Here is a 16788-nt window from a genome sequence, read left to right on the forward strand (position 1 = left end):
TACACATATACATGGGGTACACAGGCAGTTCATATTTGACATGATTTAACAGCATCTACATCTGTTTCTCATTATAACATGGCAGAAAAATGTGCCTACTAAACATTTTTTAAATATATTTGTTCAAAAAATTGTTTCTACTCCTAAGATGTTTTCCACATAAAGAAAACAGAAGATGATCCCCCGCCCCCAGGCCCTTTTTAATTCCCTTTCTCTGGTTCAGGTTTCTCTCTTGCTATCAATCATTGCTTTCCAAGCCTAACCAAAGCATGTGTCATGTCTTATTTTTATCAGTGTGTGAGAAGCACAAAATTAAATTGAGACGCGAAGCGGGGAAACATCTTATTTAAATTTAAAAAGCCTTCAAAAGCAGCAAGTGGCTCCGGGTGTGATACTTCAAGATTAGCAAGATCGTGTTTGAATGCACTCCCTGCCCATATAAACAAGCCTGAAGTCTGTTCCACGCTCCCAATACACGGCTCAGGCATGGGCTTTTCTTTTGGAAAGAGAGAAAATTCTTGGCTTTCAAGAGGTCTCTTAATCATCGCTGTATCCCCAAAATTTTAAATCACAACATAAATATCTGTTCTAACTCTCCGCCATCTAGTTAAGGAGGCCAATCATATTTTAGACACGAGCATTTTTTCCAAAGATATAAAACCTAAATTATGAGAATATTCCCTTCCGAGCACTAATTTAGAATAAATTGCTATTGTCTAACTTTTATTCTGTTGTTTTCAGTTTCAATCTGCAAAACTGTTTCCTCATTTTTATTCAAAAGTTATCATCTAAGTAATAAAAAAAGTGAAAAAGAATGAAAACAAAACCCCAAAACTCCTGAATTATAAATCCTAGACGCTAACCATGTAGTTCATAACTACCAAGGAAGCAAAAATAAAAGGAATAATCATTTTCAACTATTTCAAGACTTATTTTTCCAATTTGTATCTAATTCAAAACCTTGCCTTTTTCTTTTCTCTTTCCTGCTCATCTTTTGGCTACTTCACAGCTCATTTCACTCTAGAGAAAAAGAGATTGGAGAAAATAAAAAGAGATGAGACTCAATGAGTGCAACTGGCCTCAACCGCCCTGAGGAAAAGCTTTGTTTTCAAGAAGCCTAGAAAAACTGGCTCTAATACCGATTTTAGTGCATCTGAGAATTTAAATAAACCTTAATATTCTTAATTCCTGTCACTGATTAAAAAGGGTGGTAGTCAATTTTTAGACATTTTGGTTTATGGAATAATAAGAAAAGCTGTTTAAAGCTGGCTGTCACACTGTGTATCCAGAGAACCACTTCCTAGGATAGGAAGGATTGAACGTACCAATTGTGCGTGAATGAAGTATATTAAATTTCCCAAACAAAACTGTATATACATGGCCGGGCACTGTGGTACGAGCCTGTGATTCCAGCTACTTGGGAGACTAATGTGGGAGGATCGCTTGAGCCCAGGGGCTCTAGATCAGCCTGGGCAACATAGCAAGACCTCACCTTTAAAAAATTGTGTATATAATTTTATCTATAGACATATATAGAGAGACACTCACACATATACATGTGTATATATGTATATGTATATTCATGAATTCTTTTTTGTTGTTGTTGCGACAGGATCTTGCTCTGTTGCCCAGGCTGGAGCACAGTGGTACAATTATGGCTCACTAGCCTTGACCTCCTGGGCTCAAGCAATCCTCCCACCTCAGCCTCCTGACTAGCTGGGATTATAGGCGCGCACCACCACACCAGGCTAATTTTTGTATTTTTTGTAGCGACGGGGTTTCTCTGTGTTGCCCAGGCTAGTTTCGAACTTCTGGGCTCAAGCAATCCTCCCATCTCAACCTCCCAAAGTGCTGGGATTACAGGGGTTAGCCACCATGCCCAGCCTATATGTATATACATGAATAAATGTTACCTTTGAACAATATTACCTTTGAATAGTAATTCTGATGCTTCAAATATCTATGCTAATTTTAGAAGGTAAGTAACTATAATATTTGTATAAATAAAACCTACAGATGATGCAAAATAGTTTTTACTCATGAACTTATATACTAGATAAACATTTCAGGAAAGAGGGTGATACGTATATTTATAAATTTCCTTCTCAACCTTTGAAGAAGTAAAATATAAAAAGCATCCAAAAGACCCAGGTCAGGCGTTGTGGCTCACATCTGTAATCCCAGCACTTTGGGAGTCAGAGGCAGGCAGATCACCTGAGGTCAGGGGTTCAAGACTAGCCTGGCCAAAATGGTGAAACCCCATCTTTACTAAAAATACAAAAAAGTTAGCCGGGTGTGGTGGCACGAGCCTGTAGTTCCAGCTACTTGGGAGGCTGAGGCAGGAGAATTGCTTGAACCTGGGAGGCAGACGCTGCAGTGAGCCAAGATCGCACCATTGCATTTCAGCCTGGGTGACAGAGAGAGACTCTTTCTAAAAAAAAAAAAAAAAAAAAAAAAAAAACCAAGGAACCTTACAAAAGCTTTTAGAAGGTAGAGGAGGAGATAATTCTCAAGTCTTTTCATGAGGACAATGGAACCCCGATACCAAAACCTAACCTGAACATTTTAAGAAAAGAAAATTGTAGACCAGGATCTCTCATGAACATGGATGCAAAAGCTGTTACCAAAATATTTGCAAATTGAACTCAACAATAAATAAAAAAGACAATGACTGTGTGGTTACCCAAGCTTAACATTTGAAATTCAATCAATATATATCATCATATTAAAATAATAAAGGGGAAAACCACATGATTACCTTAATAGATGCCAAAAGTGCATACACCAAACTTCGAAAACATTTACGATTAAAAACTAAACAAAAAACAAAAAACCTTCAGGCATGCAAGAAATAGAAGGGAACTTCATCTGATGAAAAGGCCACCTACAGGCTGGGCAAGGTGTCTCACACCTGTAATCCCAGCATTTTGGGAGGCTGAGGCAGGAGAATCACTTCAGGCCAGGAGCTGAAGACCAGCCTGGGCAAAATGGTGAGGCCCTGCCTCTACAAAAAGTTTAAAAATTTTAAACACACACACACACACACACACACACACACCCCTATGTTTGGGAACAATGCAAATGATGTGCTATCACATACTTCTGCTATCATCGTACTGGCAGCATTAACCAATGTAATAAAATAAGAAAAAATAAAAGACTTAAAGACCTGGAAAAGAAGAGGTAAAACTGCCTCCTAAAGAAAATGTTGGCCAGGCGTGTTGGCTCACAGCCGTAATCCCAGCACTTTGGGAGGCCGAGGGAGGCAGATCAATGAGGCCAGGAGTTCAAGACCAGCCTGGCCAACATGGTGAAACTCCCTCTCTACTAAAAATACAAAAATTAGCTGGGCATGGTGGTGCATGTCTGTAATTCCAGCTACTCAGGAGGCTGAGGCATGAGAATCACTTGAGCCGGGGAGGTGGAGGTTGCAGTGAGCCGAGATTACACCACTGCACTCTAGCCTGGAGGAGAGAATGAGACTTTGTCTCAAAAAAAAAAAAATTATCTCGAAAGAAATGAGGAACCTATACTTTAAACGCAATTTTTAAATGTAGAAATTGTAATACATGAACTATACTTGAAATCTCATTCAAACAAATACACAACAAAAACAAAACAAATATATGAAACAGTTAGAGGAATTTGAACATTATTAAATATTATTGGAGAATTTCATTAATCTTTTTCGATGTGACAAGTGCTTTTAAACAAGAGATTCCAGCAGGTGTTGTCAGCTCTGCATCCCATGCCCTTGGTTCTGAACCATTGCCTTAGATACCCTGCCCAGTTTCCAACTCCCAGCATCTGAGTCCCTTTGCCTGAGGCCTTCACTAGCCCCAGATCTCCACGTGCACGAGGGACTAGAAGTGCTGAGGAATCCACACAGCTGTCCCCTCCATTCTTGCCCCTAGCGCCCCTCAACCAATCACTGTTGGGGGTTGATAAATACATATTCCAGTTCCCTTGCTCCTTGGGGACAGGGAACATATATTCTCCATGGCCTCCAGGAATTCTGCAGCAGGATTAAGCTAAAGTTGGTGGTGACAAGCTTTTTGATGTTCCCCCTATTGATTTGTTTCCCTTCCCTCTCTCATTCTGCCAAACATTTCTTTGGTATTTACAAATAAACGTTTATTTAGTATTTAGAAATAAACATTTATTTGGTATTTACAAATAAACATTTATTTGATATTTACACATAAATATTTGCATTACTATCTTTGTCTCAGGGTCTGCTTCTGGAGTAACCCAAACTAAAACAGATACATGCAGAAATATCTCAAAATGACATGATGTCTGATTCCTTCAAAATAATATGCAGAGCCTGGGTGCAGTGGCTCACACCTGTAATCCCAACACTTTGGGAGGCCGAGGTGGGCAGATCACCTGAGGTCAGGAGTTCAAGACCAGCCTGACCAACATGGTGAAACCCTGTCTCTACTAAAAATACAAAAATTAGCAGGGCATGGTGGCAGACGCCTGTAATCCCAACTGCTCGGGAGGCTGAGGCAAGAGAATCGTTTGAATCCAGGAGGCAGAGGTTGCAGTGAGCCAAGGTCGTGCCATTGCACTCCAGCCTGGATGACAAAAGCAAAACTCCATCTTAAAAATACATATATACACAGAGGGAAGGTACAGAAGAAACAAGACTGATCACATTGAAAGTTTTGAAGCTAAGTGATGGGTACAGTGGGACTTCATTTTATTATTTTGTCTACTTTGATAAGTTTGAAATTTTTCATAACAAAGTTAATTTTTTAAAATAAATGCATAAATACACTGAAAGTCAGAATGTGAAACAGACAACATTTCAAACCAGCAGAGGCATGTGGCTTATCCAACTGGCTAGCCATCTGGAACACATCTAATAAAGCTACATTTTATCAAAATAAATTGCAAGTGAATCAAATATTTGGATATATAAAATAAAATCATGGCCAGTTACAGTGGCTCATGCCTGTAATCCTAGCACTTTGGGTGCCCAAGTTGGGAGGAACACTTGAGTTCATGAGTTTGAGACCAGCCTGGGCAAGATGGCAAGACCCCATCTCTATTTGAAAAATAATAATAAAATAAATACATAAATAATAAAAAGAAAATCATAAAACTATTCCAGATAAGTGTAGGATAATTTATTCCTTTTTGGATCTGAGAAGGCTTTTCTACACAATATACAAGACCAGGTGCAGTGGCTCACACCTGTAATCCCAATATTTTGGGAGGCCAAGGCGGGCAGATCACCTGAGGTCAGGAGTTTGAGACCAGCCTGGCCAACATGGTGAAACCCTGTCTTTACTAAAAATACAAAAATTAGCTGGTCATGGTGGCAGGTGCCTGTAATCCCAACTACTTGGGAGACTGAGGCAGGAGAATCGCTTGAACCCAGGAAGCGGAAGTTGCAGTGAGCTGAGATCGCGCTACTGTACTCCAGCCTGGGTGACAGAGAGAGATTCTGTCTCGAAACAAACAAAAAAATACACAAAACCCGAATTCCAAAAAGATTAGCAAATGTGACTACATAAAATACGTTTGAGGGTTTTTTTCCAGCATGGAAAAAAAAGTACCATACAAAGTCAAAAGACAAATGATCAACTGGGAAAAATATTTCAACGCATATGACAATGAGTTCATGTCTTTCATGTATAAAGACCTCTTACAAATCAATTATAAAAGACCATTAAACCAATAGAAAAACAGGCACAAAGCTTAAAGAGGCAGTTCATAGAAAGGAAACACAAATGGCTTATGAATACAGGAAAGATAGTCCACCTCAATCATTTTAAAACAGTAAATTATCAATGAGATAAAATTTTTCATTTATTAGATGGAAATTCTCAAAACATATTCATAAGATGGCTATTAAGTGAAAAAAATCAAAACATAGAACAGTCTGTAAACTATGCCTCCACTAGTGTATAAAAACTATATATTAATATATATGCATATCCATAGATACACATAGATAAGTATATGTACATATCTGTATATGTACTTAAATATGCATAGGACATTTTTAGAACTACATTGTATAAACTGGTTAGTGATTGCTTCTGGGGAAGAGAACTAAGAGTGGGAGCCCAAAGTCTTAAGTAAGAGTAGACATCACTTCCCACCATGTAATTTTTAATGTTTAAATGTATATCTGTACTGTCTTTCCAATTAAAAAATAACTGGGTAATAAAATAATCTGAATTACTTTATTCCACAAATATTTACTGCCTGAGCATCTACTTTCTGCCAATCACTACTTAAGGGCTGGGAATAGAGGTGGGGGTGACCAACATGAAACTCTGTCCTCACAGCTCTAACATGCTCCTGGGAGGAGAATAATAAAAATCTTTAATCCTGGTCAGTCTAGTAATTTTGACTGCAACTTAATTAATGCTTTCTTTGAGTGTGCTTTTTTGGGGTGTGCTTTTTGACGGTGAATATATTTAGTTTTATATAAAATCACTACTCTAGAAACACATTCTTTAGAACAGACACAATAATTGCCATCATAATTTGAACAGGCCTTGACAAGTGAGAAGAAATGAGAAGAGGTTTGTTGTTCAAGCCTCCATGCATAGCCACATTATTTAAGAATTTCATTCTTGGCTGGGCACAGTGGCTCACGCTTGTAATCCCAGCATTTTGGGAGGCCGAGGCAGGTGGATCCCTTGAGCTCTGGAGTTCAAGACCAGCCTGGACAACATGGCAAAACCCCATCTCTACAAAAAATACAAATATTAGCCAGGTATGGTGGTGTGTGCCTGTGGTCCCAGCTACTTGGGAGGCTGAGGTGGGAGGCTTGAGCCCAGGAGGCAGAGGCTGCAGTGAGCCAAGATTGCACCACTGCATTCCAGCCTGAGTGATAGAGCCAGACCTTGTCTCAAAAAAAAAAAAAAAGAAAAGAAAAAAGCTGTTAACATTGTTTCACATAGTAAAAATACACATTTTGGCAGATGACATAATCCTCTATCTAGAAAACCCCATCACCTCAGCCCAAAACCTTCTTAAGCTGATAAGCAACTTCAGCAAAGTCACAGGATACAAAATCAATGTGCAAAAATCACTAGCATTCCTATACATCAACAACAGGCAAATAGCCAAATCATGAATGAATTCCCATTCACAATTGCTACAAAAAGAATAAAATATCTAGGAATATAGCTAAGGATGGAAGAAAAGGACCTCTTCAAGGAGGCCTAAAACCACTGCTCAAAGAAATCAGAGAGGACACAAAAAAATGGAAAAACATTCCATGCTCTTGAATCGGAAGAATTAATATCATGAGAATGGCCATATTGCTCAAAGTAACTTATGGATTCAATGCTATTCTCATTAAACTACCATTGACATTCTTCACAGAATTAGAAAAAACTATTTTAAAATTCACATGGAACCAAAAAAGAGCCCAAATAGCCAAGACAATCCTAAGCAAAAAGAACAAAGCTGGAGACATTATGTTACCCAACTTCAAACTATACTACAAGGCTACAGTAACCAAAATGTCATGGTACTGGTACAAGAACAGACACATAGACCAATGGAAGAGAAAAGAGATCTCAGAAATAAGACCACACACCTACATCCATCTGATCTTCGACAAACCTGACAAAAACAAGCAATGGAGAAAGAATTCCCTATTCAATAAATGGTGCTGAAATAACTGGCTAGCCATATGCAGAAGACTGAAACTGGACCTCTTCCTTACACCTTATACAAAAATTAACTTAATATAGATTGAAGACTTAAATGTAAAACCCAAAACCATAAAAACCCTAGAAGAAAATCTAGGCAATACCATTCAGGACATAGTCACAGGCAAAGATTTCATGACGGAAATGCCAAAAGTAATTGCAACAAAAGCAAAAATTGACTAGTGGGATCTGACTAAACTAAAGAGCTTCTGCACACCAAAAGAAACTATCATCAGAGTGAATAGAAAATCTACAGAATGAGAGAAAATTTCTGCAATCTATCCATCTGACAAAGGTCTAATATCCAGAGTCTACAAGGAACTTAAACAAATTTACAAGAAAAAAACAAACAAGCCCATTAAAAAGTAGACAAAGAACATGAATAAACACTTCTCAAAAGAAGATGTACATGTGGCCAAAAAACATATGGGGAAAAAAAGCTCAAAATCACAGATTATTAGAGACATGCAAATCAAAACCACAATGAGATACCATCTCACGCCAGTCAGAATGGCCATTAATAAAAAGGCAAAAAAACAACACATATTGGTGAAGTTGCTGAGAAAAAGGAACACTTTTACACTGTTGGTGGGAATGTAAATTAGTTCAACCATTGTGGAAAACAGTGTAGCAATGCCTCAAAGACCTAGAGGCAGAAATACCATTTGACCCAGCAATCCCATTACTGGGTATGTACCCAAAGGAATAGAAATCATTCTATTATAAAGATACATGCACACATATGTTCATTGCAGCACTATTCACAGTAGCAAACACATGGAATCAACCTAAATGCCCATCAATGATAGACTGGATAAAGAAAATGTGGTCCATATACACCATGGAATACTAGGCACCCATAAGAAGGAAGGAGATCACGTCCTTTGTAGGGATATGGATGGAGTTGGAAGCTGTTATCCTCAGCAAACTAATGCAGAAAGAGACAACCAAATACAACATGTTCTCAGTGAGAGCTGAATGATGAGAACACATGGACACATGGGGGCTAACAACACACACTGGGGCCTGTCAGAGGAGGGTGGTTGGGGGAGGGGGAGCATCAGGAAGACTAGCTAATGGATGCTGGGCTGAATACTTATGTGATGGGTTGATCTGTGCAGCAAACCACCATGGTACACATTTACCTATGTAACAAACCTGCACATCCTGTACGTGCACCCCTGAACTTAAAAGTTGAAAAAAATACACATTTTGGTTAAAGAACAAGTCAAACTAAATTAGAACAAATTCTAAAGCGTGGCTGATGAACACTAGGCTTGCCCAGTGCTCTGTCAAAAAAGGGATCCTTGGCCAATCAACTGGGAAATACTGCTTATTAAATTTCTCCTAAATAAAAAATATTCCCCACCTTGGAGATTTACAACACCTGTTAACGTATTAGCAGCCCTAAGAAGTTCTTCAATGGAGGCCAGGCATAGTGGCTCACACCTGTAATCCCAGCAGTTTGGGAGGCTAAGACAGGCAGATGACTTCAGCCCAAGAGTTCAAGACCAGCCTCGGCAACATAGCAAGACCCCAAATCTATTTTCTAAAAAGAAAATTAAAAAAAAAAAAATGTTAAGGAAATCCTTCAATGGAGAACTTTTTTTGCTTAACTTTTTAATCTTTCTCTCTCTCCTCTTTCTCTCCTCTCTCTGCCTCAAGTGTGTCCTTTGACTTCATTTGAGACTCTCTTCAGGCCTAGTGTACTCGTTTCTAAAATGTAAGAGCTCAGACCAGATGAAGTCAATGGTTCCTATTCTACTTTATCATTCCAGGTTCCCGGTCTCACTTTAGAAAAATTAAGCAATTGAAGCATTCGATGTTATTGCTTTGAAACCCAGCCAAATAAATAATCATCAGCTATTACTGAACTTCAAAGTATTCTGTATGATTGATTAATGTCATATGAAGTGATACTCAAATCACTGGTGCATTCATGAATACCAAGAAAAAAATTTATATCTTTTTTCAAAGCAACTTAGTATAAATCTTAAAAGATGGCAGAAAAAAATAATCGCAGTCAAAAAGGTGTTAGTTCAGACTCTAATGTTTCCAGGACACAGGAAAAAAAGTTTTTAAATTACATTTTAAAAATCTGCCACGTGCAGTGGCTCATGTCTGTCATCCCAGCCCTTTGGGAGGTCGACGGGGGAGAATCACTTGAGGCCAGGAGTTTGAAACCTGCTTGGGCAACATGGCAAGACCCTGTCTCTAAGAATTTTTTTTTTAATCAGCTGAGAGTAATATTTTTAGGTAACTATTCACAAGAACAGCTATGTCAGCCAGGCACAATGGCTTACACTTGTAATATCAACATTTTGGGAGGCTGAAGCAGGAAGATCACTTGAGCTCAGGAGTTTGAGATCAGCCTGGGCAACAAAGTGAGACTCTGCCTCTACAAAAAATAAAAAAAATTAGCCAGGTGTGGTGGCACATGCCTGTAGTCCCAGCTACTCAGGAGGCCGAGGTGGGAGGATCACTTGAGCCCAGGAGGCTGCAGTGAGCCATGACCGCGCCACTGCCCTCCAGCCTGAGTGACAGAGCCAGACCCTGTTGCAAGAAAAAGAAAAAAAAAGAAAGAAAGAGAGAGAGAGAAAGAAAAAGAAAGAAAGAAAGAAAGATCCAAAAACTAAAAAAAAAACAGTTTTGTTATGAATTCCTAGATTCGTCATGCAAAAAAGAAAGTGAAATTTTTTTTTTCACCAATTCTCTACTCATTTTCCTCGCAAACAGCTCGGCACTAGCTTAGTGGCGAATTCACATGCTTCCAAAAAGTGAGAGAGCAAATTAGAAAAGACTGGATCACCTGACATCAGGAAATGCTCATCTGAGCTCAAATCAGGAGAGTCTTTGTTTTGAATCTTTGTTTTTCTTCAGCAAACTCCAAAGTACTTCCCAGCCCCACTCTGGCCTCCGTGCTGTCCAAACTTCTTACTAGTTTGTAGCTAACCTGAAGCTGCCATCTGAGAAAATACAGCACAACCTACCTCCGTCCCAAGGAGCACTCTCTCAGTCTCATGGCAAGAAGAAAGTGAGAAGACTACATGTGGGCTTAGAACAACTGAAATTCACTATTACCCACCAGATTACTTCCTTATAAGGATAATCTTCTCGGATAGAGCACAGCAATGACCAACAACAACAAATGCAAAATCCAATTTAAAAAAACAACACATATAGGACAAAAGAGATCCAATTCAGTACACTCCCCTGAAAGAAAATGGGGTGGGAAACAACTTTCCTTTTAACAGAATACCAGCAGGAGCAACGGGACTTCTACAATTATAGCCTCTTTTTTTTTTTTTTTTTTTTTTTTTTTAAGACAGGATCTCTCTCTGTCACCCAGGGTGGAGTGCAGTGGCACAATCATAGCTCACTATATAGCCTCAACCTCCTGGACTCAAGCAATTCTCCCACCTCGGTCCCCCGAGTAGCTGAGAACACAGACATCCAGCTAATTTTTTTTATGATCGGTAGAGATAAGGTCTTACTATGTTGCCCAGGCTGGTCTAAGTCCTGGGCTCAAGCGATCCACCCGCCTCACCTCCCAAAGTGCTGGGATTACAGCCATGACCTCCACGTCTGGCCAGCCTCTCTTTCAACTAATGCTCTGCCTAAGGAAGTTGTCTTATATGCAAATTTAAAACCAATCCAAGCATTTTCTCTTACAGCACCCCTCACAAGTATGTTCAGCTGTGGAACTGGGCCTTCCTAAGTTCTGATTCTGTCTTGAATTTATCAGGACACCTTACTTCCAATCTTTCAAGAGGCAAAATAGTCTGGCTTAGTGGTTGACACAGCATTTTCTACAGCCTACTGTCAAAGGCAAAACCTTAACAAAGGAATTCTTTCCTTCCATATTTAAAAATGTTGGAGGAGGTAGCTAGGCAGACATGAGCAGGGCAGGAGAGGGCTCCTTCCTACCCCAGGGATGTCAGACAACTGTCAAGTGATAGTCAGGCAGTTGTTAGTCTCTCTAAAATAATAATTCAGGAGGCCGAGGCGGGTGGATCACTTGAGATCAGGAGTTTGAGACCAGGCTGGCCAACGTGGCAAAACCCCGTCTCTACTAAAAATACAAAAATTAACCAGGTATGGTGGCATGTGCCTGAAGTCCCAGCTACTCAGGAGACTGAAGCAGGAGAATTCCTTGAACCCGGGAAGTGGAGGCTGCAGTAAGCTGAGGGTCACACTGCTGCACTCCAGCTGGGGCGATAGAGTGAGACTCTAAAAATAAATAAATAATTGAGAATTTGAGAGAGAAAGAAAGAAAGAAAAGAAAAGAAGAAGAAGAAGGGAGGAAGGGAGGAAGGGGAAGGAAAGAGAAAGAAAGAAAGGAAAGAAAGAAAGAAAGAAAGAAAGAAAGAAAGAAAGAGAGAGAAAAAGAAAGAGAGAGAGAGAAAGAAAGAGAACGAAAGAAAGAAAGGAAAAGAAAGAAAGGGGAAGGAAGAAAAGAAAGAAACTTAAAAAAAGAGCAGTTTTATGACTTCAATAAATGGAAGAAATAATAATATAATAATTTGTTGCAGTCAGTACCAAGGAAAGGCAGTATCCCAATAGATAGAAAACACCCGAAGCTGGTGATCAGCAGCTTCCCAATAAGATCCCAGGCATTGGAGAGTAGGCTCAAGCATGTGCACTAAGAGGCAAAATGGCAGAGTTTAAGCTGGTATATGACCTTCCTTGAGGAACACTCGACTCAACAAAAATCCTCAAATGAGCATTCATACAGCTCTACTAAACACATATGCATGCAGCCCCTCCCAAGTGCTGAAAGGCCACTGTGGGTGAGGACAGCCCACCCCAAGGAAAAAATCAAGGGAGGAGAGACACAAACCCCAGAACCATGACAGTGCAGAAGACCCCCAGTCAAAGGTCTGATAGGGCACTTGGTTTTCTCAAGCTGCTCCCTTGGCCCTCTTCCAAGTTTACATCCTTTCATTACTGCTCTGAAACTTTTTAATAAACTTTCACTCCTGTTCTAAAACTTGCCTCAGTCTCTCACTCTCACTCTCCCTTATGCCCCTCAGCCAAATTCTTTCCTCTGAGGAGGCAAGAATCGGTTGCTACAGACAACCGATTTGTTGCCACTGCTAACAAAAAGTGCAATTCTCACCAATGAAACTCCGCCATAATTTTTATTAAGTCACATGCAGAACAAATGCAACTGAAATATCAGGGATCATGATATTTTTATACTTCTCTCCTTGCACAGCATCTGACCTGTTGATAACTGTTTTTTTGTGTGTGAGTGGTTTTTTTTTTTTTTTTTACTGTTTTTTTAGAGATAGGGTCATGCTATGTTGCCCAGGCTGGTCTCAAAGTCTGCCAGGATTACAGGCATAAACCACTGTACCCGGCCCATGTTGATAACTTTTTATGATACAAATTCATCTTCTGGTGAAAACCAGTGAATGACAAATACTTACCTGGTAGTTTAAGTCTATATGTGAAGATGCTATGTTTCAAGAATCAAGTTTTATGTGATTTTTGTGTTTAAAAACTTTCAATTAAAAAATCTTGAAAACTGAAGAGATTCTCTCCTTCATCACATAAAACTGGGGATTCCAGCATTTTATACAGGTTCTGCTTGAATTCCTACATCTCCTATGCTAATTAAGAGTGCTCTCTCCCTGTCCCATCTGTGCAGACTTCTAAATCACTAGAGAGATCACCAGGTAGAATGTCAGCACAGCTATCCTCCAAGCCTAAGATTAGTTGTCACTTAGTGAATGAGGCTCAAGAGAGCAATAGAGACTGAGTCAGGCACTCTGTTGTAAAATAGGCACATTACAAGGTCAGAGAAAGCTGTCAGTAAAAATATGTGTGATTGGAAGGGCCTCAAAATGCCTTACAACAGCTTGATGCTCATCTGAGCTTGAAGCAGGCCTGATGGAAACGCTAAGGGGATCTTGGTCAGAGAGAATCGAAAAACAATTGATCTAACGGAAAACCCAGCATTTTTTACCCCCAATTTACTCCTGCCTTCTGGAAACTTTAGAAGCTTAGCCTTGTCTCTCATCTTAGGCTCCCAACGCTAGATTAACTTCATTTCCTGATGGTCTTCAGGGTGTTACTGGAACTGAAGTCTTGAGTTGGATCTTCAAACAAGCCAATTCATTTAGTTGTTTTTTGTGATGATTAATACTGAGTGTCAACTTGATTGGATTGAAGGATGCAAAATATTGATCCTGGGTGTGTCTGTGAGGGTGTTGCCAAAGGAGATTAACAATTGAGTCAGTGAGCTGGGGAAGGCAGATCCACTCTTAATCTCGGTGGGTACCATCCAATCAGCTGCCAGCAAATATAGCAGGCAGACAAATATGAAAAGGCAAGACTGGCTTAGCCTCCCAGCCTACACCTTTCTCCTATGCTGGATGCTTCCTGCCCCTGAACATCAGACTCCAAGTTTCTTCAGTTTTCGGACTCAAACTGGCTCTCCTAGCTCCTCAGCTTCAGACAGCCTATTGTGGGACCTTGTGATCGTGGGAGTTAATATACTTAATAAATTCCCCTTTATATATACATATATATATACACACACACACATATATATACACATATATATGTATACAAGTATACATATATACGTACATATGTATACAAGTATACATGTATACATATATGTGTATATGTGTGTATATGTATATATGTGTATATATAGTGCGTTTGTGTATATATGTGTGTATGTATATATGTGTATGTATATATATGTGTATGTATATATGTGTATATATGTATGTGTGTATATGTGTATATATGTATATATATGTGTGTGTGTAAATATATATATACATATTTACCATGACTCACACATTTCTTTAGTCACAGACTGCCCCTCCACCCTAATATCTCATACAACATGCAAGGGCTTAACAGAAATGAGTATTAGGAGAGAGAAATAAATAAATAAAGTATATCCACCATCTTCATGTACAACGGATAGCACTTCATTATAGAGAAAGACACAGAAATGAGAAAAGCTGAAACAATCTTCAAAAACACATGGCGTAGCTTCATTATTGGGCAGCTAACATTTAGAGGTCTAGATCAGGCATTTATCAGCCCACAGTTATGGGGTAGATGGGTCAGATAGTTTGGCAATCCCAGTTCACCCTTAGTTGGAAGCATCTGACTGTCTAACTCATACATCAGTGTTAGTAACTCATAACAATTTAAAGACCTTCTCTTTTCAAACATATGCTCATTTTAACCCAGATATAACAGCATAAAGAGTCTAGCAGTAAAAAGTCTAGGCTGTGAACAGTTATCACTAACAAGATGGACACATTTGGAAAGCCACCGAAACTCTTTGGCTCTCAGTTCCCCATCCATAAAGTGGAAGGGTTACAGTACATGAAGTCAAAATTTCTTCTAGCTAAAGTATGTTTGGTATCTATGACTCTATAAAGAAAGCCTAACTATAAGGCATCAAAGGCAAGTGAGTAAGGTTCTCCCAACCCACCCAAGTGCAAGGCTAAGGATACATGCCCCATGGGATGACCCAGGCTGGGAGGCACGAAGGAGCAGAAGATCAATAGACTTGAATTCAAACTTTACCTAGATGATAAATCAACAGAGACAACTTATTGATGAAGGTCAGGCAACAGAATGCTCTAGAGTGGGGAAACCTTACATAAGAGACCTAAAGTTCAAGCCTCAGCTTAGCCATTGACTAGTAGAATGGCCTTGGACAGGCCACTTAACTCTTCTGAGCCACAGTTTCCCCAATGGGTGTATTACTATCTGCTCCACATATAGACAACTCAGTATTTGTATTGTTGGAGCTCAGAAACTGATACCTCAAAATATGGTCCTTTGATATACTGAACTAAAGAAGCCTCAAGGTCTCTCTGATTTTCCCCCACCTCCCAACCTCACTGTCTCACCCAAAGCATAAGATGAAGCTAAAGTTCCTTTATCTGCCTAAGATCCAGACCCACCAAGAATAATTGTTTTTTTCTTCCCCTCCCTGTAAAACCAAGAATATAACCACACCTAAACAGATCGTGTCACAAGATAATGTCACAGTATTTTGGGAGGCCAGGATGGGAGGATCACTTTAGCCCAGGAGTTTGAGACCAGCCTGGGCAACATAGTGAGACCCTGTCTCTACAAAAATAAAATAAAATAAAATAAAAAGATAATGTCTATCTGTCAGATCATTCCAGTTCCAAAGATAACTATTTACATATTGATCTCTCTTCCCAGATACATTTATTCTCCCTAGTAATTCCCTCAACAGAACTCCTCTTCTCTGTGCCCCATCTTGCCACATAATATGTTTTGCCAGGATGGGACATGAGCTTCTGAACCCCAATGGGGAATGGATAATCACTTTCCTTGTGTACACGTTAATAAAATCTGTATGCCTTTTCTCCAGTTAATCTGCCTTTTGTGAGTTGATTTTCCAGTGAACCTTCCAAGGAGAAGTTCCCCTTGGCCCATACAGTATCAATATAAGAAAATGTGCACACAGCAAAGAAAACAAACAACAGAGTGAAGATACAACCTGTTGAAGGTCGAGCACGGTGGCTCATGCCTGTAATCCCAGCACTTTGGGAGGCCAAGGTGAGAGGATTGCTTGAGCCCAGGAGTTGAAGACGAGCCTGGGCAACATAGCAAGACCCTCATCTCAAAAAAATAAATAAGTAAAAGAAAAAGAGAAGATACAACCTGTTGAATGGGAGAAAATATCAGCAAACTATTTATCCAAGAAGGGACTAATATTCAGAATAACAAGGAACTCACTCAAACAACTTAACAGTAACAAATCAAATAATCTCATTAAAAATGAGCAAAGGACATGAATAGACATTCTCAAAAGACATACAAATGACCAATAGATATATTAAAAAACACACAACATCACTAACTTGCATTGGGGAAATGCAAATCAAAACCACAATGAAAATGAAGGAAAAAACTGCAATGAAATATCATCGCATGCCAGTTAGAATGGCTATTATTTAAAAAACAAAAGTAACAGATGCTGGTGAGGAGGTGGAGAAAAGGGAACACATATACTGTTGGTGGAAATGTAAATTAGTATAGCCACTGTGGAAAATAGTATGAAGATTTCTTTAAAAACTAGAAATAG

The 16788-nt window shown here is 39.3% G+C and overlaps 1 protein-coding gene across 7 annotated transcripts in view, besides 1 other annotated feature; it reads right to left on the minus strand.

Annotated features, from left to right (window-relative positions):
• The window catches only part of IPCEF1 (interaction protein for cytohesin exchange factors 1), a 202308-nt gene that overhangs the window by 164850 nt on the left and 20670 nt on the right, over positions 1 to 16788 (minus strand). Inside the window, exon 1 of one of the 7 annotated variants that reach the window (NM_001130699.2) lies at positions 10676 to 10736. The exons of the other annotated variants lie outside the window; for them this stretch is intronic. The gene's annotated coding sequence lies outside the window, so the exon portion shown is untranslated. Of the gene's footprint in view, positions 1 to 10675; positions 10737 to 16788 lie in introns of those variants that run through there. 7 annotated transcript variants of the gene reach the window in all.
• Positions 11176 to 11376: a silencer, noted in NCBI's record as "peak6226 fragment used in MPRA reporter construct". NCBI's record gives its function as "represses an SCP1 promoter by STARR-seq MPRAs in K562 erythroleukemia cells {active_cell/tissue: K562}" and the evidence as "EXISTENCE:reporter gene assay evidence [ECO:0000049][PMID:32103011]".

Source organism: Homo sapiens, chromosome 6, assembly GCF_000001405.40.
Source record: "Homo sapiens chromosome 6, GRCh38.p14 Primary Assembly".
Classification (NCBI taxonomy): Eukaryota; Metazoa; Chordata; class Mammalia; order Primates; family Hominidae; genus Homo; species Homo sapiens.